Genomic DNA, 7,451 nt, shown 5'->3' on the forward strand with positions numbered 1-7,451 from the left:
CCCCACCTTACTCAAGGGTGTAGGTAAAATATGGTAACAATATGCTATTTGGCAACATAGTGGAATAACACCTCTAGTAATCTCTTCTGCCAATGGCTTCAAATTGCAAATAAGTTAAAAAATATTTTTCCCATAGGTTACATTTTTATCCTTTTTTTCTTAAATTTATTCTTTTTAATTTTGTGGTTACACAGTATGTGTATATATTTATGCCATATATGGCATATTTTGGTACAGGCATATAATATATAATAGTTACATCAGGATAAATGAGGCATCCATCACCTCTAGCATTTATCCTTTTTATTACAAACAATTTGATTAGTAAAATAAAAATATTGTTATTTTAAAATATTAAAAGTACTTTATTTTAAAATTTGCAATTGTTCTGACTACAGGGTCATTTTTATGGTCATAATAAAATTTATATAGAAGTATAAATAAAATTGATACATTTCTAAGTACTGAATAAATATTTAAAGAATTTGTTACATATTTTTCTTTGAACATGATTTATCTCTGCCTGCAAACACATATAGGCTTTTAGTTTTGATTTACATAGAGTTAAACATATACATATATTACTCTAAAGATAAACCTTAGGTGTAAGAAAATTATGAAGTAAGTGTGTATGAGTATGAGTTTGTACCCATTTTTGGAAGGAGAAAGCAATATTGGAACAAAACAAATTATTTTAATAAGGTGACTTATTAGAAAACTAAAAACCTCGAAAATGTTGAAAGCAAATCTATACTCTGTGCATTGTATTGAATTCATTGCTATAAAATGTTAGGGCTTATAGTTCAGAATCTCCCTATGCACATTCTCTGTTTTTACTTGTCTGGTACTCATGCTAGACCCATAATGTTCTTGTTTTGTATTTTATGAAGTACTCATTATGTGAGCTGGTCAGGGATTATAAGAATGATTTTTATGAAATTTAAGAGTGCACACAAAATAATTTTTAGATGTAATTACAAAATTAGTTATATTTTTATATAAGTTAGTTTTTATATAATAGTTATATTGTTATATTTTAACGTTTGATTTTTGTTTTATTGGAGAAACCTGTATAAGGCTAATTTTCTTTATTGTTTCTTTCACTTTTTATAATTGACATAAGTAAATCTATTGAGTGAGCTAATTTGCTTTGGTAAGTACTAGGGAGACTTCATAAGTCATGAGGATGTTTTTACATATAAATGTAGCAAACAAATATGACAGTTCTTCTGAGTAAAACATGCTTTATAATAAGTCATAAATATTTTTGCTGGAGTTAGTTTGTAACTTCAAGTCAGAGATGGAAAATAGCAATGGTGAAGAAATAACATTGATTCATCATGTGGAGAGGACATTTTCAGGCTGCAAAGCTGACTTGCTGAATTTAAACACAAATTCTGCTGCTTTTATTTTCTACTGATCTTCAGTTTTGTCTTACTTAGTGTATTCCAACTATATATGCATCACAGTCTTTCTTCTTTTACTGTGTTATGACTACAGTTTTCTCATTGTTGTCTTCATGCCATGTCATTTTACATGGTAGTTTGTGGGTTCTCATGAGAAAGTTGGTATTTTTAATGCATTGAAAAATTGGTTTTAACTGAAGAATTTGCTTATCAATAAAACTTTCAGATTAGTCAATTAAGAGAATAGACATACACTGTTAACAAGTGAAAAGATTACATCAGTTAGCTTTTTCTTTGTAAAAAAAAAAAGTTTTATTCTTGCAAAAAGCATGGCAAATATAAAATTTGTAAAAATATTTCAGAAATTAGATTCTAAATAGAGTTAATGGTAAATGAACAATTTTAAATTTAATTTTCTATGATATATTTATAGCACAACTTATGTTTCTATGCAGAATCTTTTTTTTTTTCTTTTTTTGAGACAGAGTTTCACTCTCTCTCCCAGGCTGGAGTGAAGTGGCCCAATGTCGGCTCACTGTGACCTCCATCCCCCAGATTCCAGCGATTCTCCTACCTCAGCCTCCCAAGTAGCTGGAATTACACCACGCCCAGCTAATTTTTGTATTTTTAGTAGATATGGGGTTTCGCCATGTTGGCCAGGTTAGTCTCAAACTCCTGACCTCAGGTGATCCACCCGCCTCGGCCTCCCAAAGTGCTGAGATTATAGGCGTGAGCCACTGTGACTGGCAGAATCTTATATTTTTAAGTGTGAATGTTGAATGTGGCAAAACAGTACAATGACCTGTGGATCTGAAATTTGGAATAATATTTATTTTACATCTTGATAAAACAATTTGGAGAAATTCCACTCTTTTTTTTTTTTTTGAGATGGAGTCTCGTTCCGTCACCCAGGCTGGAGTGCACTGGCATGATATCAACTCACTGCCACCTCCTCCTCCCAGGTTCAAGCGATTCTCCTGCTTCAGCCTCCTGAGTAGTTGGGATTACAGGTGCACACCACCATGCCCGGCTAACTTTTGTATTTTTAGTAGAGACGGGGTTTCACCATGTTGGTCAGGCTGGTCTCAAACTCCGGACCTTGAGATCCGCCTCGGCCTCCCAAAGTACTGGGATTACAGGCATGAGCCACTGCGCTCAGCCCATATTCTTTTATATGACTTTTTTTTAGTAGGTACAGTTTAGTCTACAGATTTTTACTCACCTAACTGTAGCCAACTCCTTGATCATTGGTAAGTGACTGATTAGTAATTCCAAACTATTGACCGGATGCAGTGGCTCATACCTGTAATCTTAGCACTTTGGGAGGCCAAGGCAGGTGGATTGCCTGAGGCCAGGAGTTCGAGACTAGCCTGGCCAACATGGTGAAACCCTGTCTCTACTGAAAATACAAAAATTAGCTGGGCATGGTGGCGAGCGCCTGTAATCCCAGCTACTCGGGAGGCTGAGGCAGGAGAATCACTTGCACCTGGGAGGTGGAGGTTGCAGTGAGCCAAGATCGCGCCACTGCACTCCAGCCTGGGCAACAAGACTGAAACTCCATCTCAAAAAAAAAATAAGTAAATACAATTTTTTAAAAATAAAAAAAGTAATTCCAGACTATTTTAGTCACTGTAAAAACTTAATATTCTTTAATTATTAAATAGGAAAAAGTATTCTGATATTAGTGTTTCTGAAACTTTCAGAAAGTGTAAACCAGTAAAAAAATGATCAGGTATATGCAGACCATAAGTTTTCTATTTAATCATAGGCTCATTCTAGCTTTTAATATAAAAATTTGATAAAAGGTAAAATGAGTGGTTCTTTTAAATAATAAGAGAAATATCATTGTTAGTAGCCATTTACCAATGTATTTTTGTTAGGCTTAGTAATGAGTACTTTAAACCAAAAATCCAGTTCTACATACTATCTAAAGGTATAAATAGTGATTTTTAAATTCCTTTTAGATTCTACTAAAGTAGAAAATTCAAAGCCAAAATGTTACGTTGGAAATGGAAAAAAGCATTAGGCGAGAGGGTGTTGGGCTTAATGATTAAGATTGATACTTAGTATGAGGTGGTTCCTGTTTGCATCCTAGTTCTGCCACTTATGAGCTGTATGACCTGAATACAGTTTGTTAACCTCCGTGTGCTTAACCCTTAAGCTGTACAGTGAGGATAATAGTGCTTAAATCTTAGGATATTAGTAAAATCAGAGCAATTAATACTGATAAAGGTACCAGAAGAGTTCCCAGCACATCGTGAGTGTACAGGAAATTTATCAGCTCTTGTTGATTCTGTTAGCTCGTGATCAATGTTGAGCCTAAAAAGAACGTGGCCGAATCAGTGGTTTGTAACCCATGTTTATTCTAATCAGTCAGTCCGGGGCTATAATGGTAGTTGGATGTTTTTAATACTATCTTTGGCAAATTCCCATATATTCACATACAGCATAGTTACAAATATCTGTGGAAAGATTTCTTGTTGAGTACTGCTCCTTAGCACTCCAGTAACACTAGATAAATAAGCACTTAAATGCCTAGTGTTTGTCAGTGTTAAAATTAAAGAGGCAAATTGTTTCTTCATCTGCTTGTTTAATAAATTTCTTATTGCCAAGTATTTATGTTCATTTGTTAAACTTAAATGTAGTTTACAAATATGTATTCAAATATTTTTTCTCTAACAAGTGAAGGAAATCATCTACTTAGACATTTAGAGAAAACTTTAAACAGTTGCTTTAGAGTCTGTTTCTTAGTATTACGTTATGTTGAACATTCAAATCAAGATATTTTATTTCTGAATTTTGGGTCCAGACTATTAATAATATTAAAAGTTTACCTACCTACATTACTAAATGAGAAAGGCATTTGAAATATATATATATATAAAATATAAATATATATATATATATTTCTTCATCTTATAATTCCAGGAAACATATGTTTTAATTTATATATATGTGTTTATATATATATATGTATATGTTTTAATTTATGTATGTTTCCTGGCATTTTAAGATGAAGAAACACTTTTTCTCTGACCCAATTTCTTAACGTTTATCTCTTTAAAAAAAAAAAAAATGTACTGGCTGGGTGTAGTGGCTTACGCCTGTAATCCCAGCACTTTGGGAGGCCCAGATGGGCAGATCACCTGAATTCAGGAGTTCGAGAGCAGTCTGGTCAACGTGGTGAAACCCTGTCTCTACCAAAAATCCAAAAATTAGCTGGGTGTGGTCGTGGGCACCTGTAATGCCAGCTACTCGGGAGGCTGAGCAGGAGATTCGCTTGAATCCAGGAGGCGGAGGTTGCAGTGAGCAAGTTCACACCACTGTACTCCAGCCTGGGCAACAAGAGTGAAACTCCTTCTCAAAAATAAATAAGTACAAAAATTAGCCAGGCGTGGTGGCGCACGCCTGTAGTCCCAGCTACTCGGAAGGCTGAGGAGGGAGAATTGCTTCAACTCGTGAGACGGAGGTTGCAGTGAGCTGAGATCACGCCACTGCACTCCAGCCTGGGCAACACAGTGAGACTCCTCTGAAAAAAAAAATAGTATTTTTATTGGAAAATCAGAGTTTTATACATTACAGTGTACAAAGTGATGTTCTGATATATGTATATAAAATAAGTAAAGTTACATAACGTATCAATAACCTTTTTGTGGTGAGACATCTGAAATGTACTCCTATTTTGAAATAATGCATTATTGTTTACTATAGTTATGCTGCTGTGCAATAGATCTCAAACCCTATTTGCCTCTGTCTATTTGAAACGTTATACCCTTTAACAAATCCCTATTTCCCTCTCAGACCCTTGCCTTCTAGTCACCATTATTTCACTTTCTACTTTTTTGAGTTAAACTTTATTAGATTCTGCATATAAATGAGATCATGCAGTGTTTGTCTTTCTGTGTCAGACTTATTCCCTCTAGCATAGTGTCTTCCAAATTTATCTATATTGTTTCAAATGGTTGGATTTACCTTCTTTTAAGGCTGAATTGTATTCCATTTACCACATTTAAAAAATTAAATATATATTTATTTGTTGATAAACGTGTGTTATGTAAAAATATTTGTGTTAAAGCACATATTAATGTAATTCAGCATATGAATATCTTATTAATAGCTAATTTGTACTGAGCACTAACCATAACATTATTTATGTGTTAATGGATTTTAATTCTCACAGTAACTTAATACATCTAAACACTCATTTTTAATAAAAATCAAAAATTGAATCATTTATATTGTTATAAGATTGTATAGAATGGTACATGAAAAAATAATTTAAGCAAAAAAGATATTAATATTTGCAATACATAAAATTGGAAAGCAGTTAATTATTTGGAGATGATATCTTTGTTTACTTAGATAACAAAATAAACTATAAGACTATTTTAAAAGTCTATTCAGGTGGGTAGGCAAAATTCTAAGATGATCCCAAGGATTCCAGGTCTGTTGCACATCTGCTGTGCATTCCTTTTCTCTTGAGTGTAAAAAAGGTGTGACTGTGGTGAGAAATCACTCATGAAATTAGGTTACTAATATGTTGACTTGGTGTTCATCAAAAGGGAGATTATCTCAATTTGGCTAAACTGAATTAGAGGTGCTTTTAAGAGGAAGAGACACATCATAGTAAAACACTGCTGCTTGCCTGGAAGTAAGTGACTTCTAGGTGGGCCATGTTGTAAGCTGCTTTTGGTGGTCACATGGCAGGAAATGTTTGTATATTGTAATCATTTCTGCTTCCCACATGTTGCTTTCCACAGGAAGACAGAAGAATTCCATGACAAGAAAATAAAGGGTGGGGGGGTCTCATTCATGCAAGAAATAATCACTTCTCATTTGAGATAGCATTAAGGTGACAGAAAAAACCACAACATGACCACATCAATGAGAGGAAAAAGACAACACGGTCGAAGGTGCTCACTGGCATTATGGAGAAACATTTTGTAAGCCATAGTGAATGATCAGCCTCTGGGATACCGGTAGTCTACTAAGAAAGCTAAACTCATTCTAATAAATCAGCATATCTGCACCATTCTGGTTGGCCCAGTTTTACACTATCCATTTCAGAAATACCATGGAGACCAGTGGGTACCCTCCTAAAATTGAAATTATAATTAGAAAGCATACCTAATTATTTGTTTTCATAATTGAAAAGCCTTGAAAACAATGAATTTATTAATAAGGAACTGCTAATTTTAGAAGATCCTATTATACTGTATTACAACATTGAACTTTAAACACCTTGAGTATTTCTTGAATGCATAAACAGTTACGTAGATAGTTTCTCTTAGATTAACATGATAAAGGTAACAGAAAACATTTGAAATGGAATAAAATTAAAGCCACATGTTTTCAATGTCTTGGCGTAATTGCCATGCTTTTTAAAACGGCCAGAAAAATAAATAAATAAAAAACAATAAAACAGCCAGTTACTACCAAGAAGCAAAGACAAGATTTTAGCTTTGCTCAATCATTACATGATTGACCTTTAGAAATCTAAAACTCTGGCTAAAAAATTAGGAGAAATTTTTTTTTTAGGTAACTTCCTAGGATTTCTGAGGCAACACAAGAATTCTGATAGGCAGAAAAAAAGCATACTAAATATACACATTGCTCTTCTCTGATTTGCTTTAACATTAAAAGATTAAAAATTGCAAATATAAGCTAAATTTAGAGTATGTTAACAAAACATTTATTTTTCAGCCAAGCAAATAATTATATAAAATTAATGAGTAACAGATGCCATCATCTGCCAAAAAATAGTATGACTAGATTCAGTAAGTGTCTAGCCATGAAAATGACAGCCCAATTAAATTAAGACCCTAATAGGTGCATGTGGAAAGCATGTGCAAAGGTGCTGCACCTCCACTTAGCACCTTCTTCTGCCTCTTTACAGAGACACCAATTTCCCTAGTGACTTCTGGTGAATACTGGGAACTAAGAATGCATTGTTCAGAGCGATTACTGAGAACATGGTTAACACAGTTTTTTCATATTATAATAAAATTTTGTAAATCTTACTCTACCTCTGAAAGGCTTTTAGTA

The sequence above is a fragment of the Homo sapiens genome, chromosome 19 (genome assembly GCF_000001405.40).
Source record: "Homo sapiens chromosome 19, GRCh38.p14 Primary Assembly".
Lineage (NCBI taxonomy): Eukaryota > Metazoa > Chordata > Mammalia > Primates > Hominidae > Homo > Homo sapiens.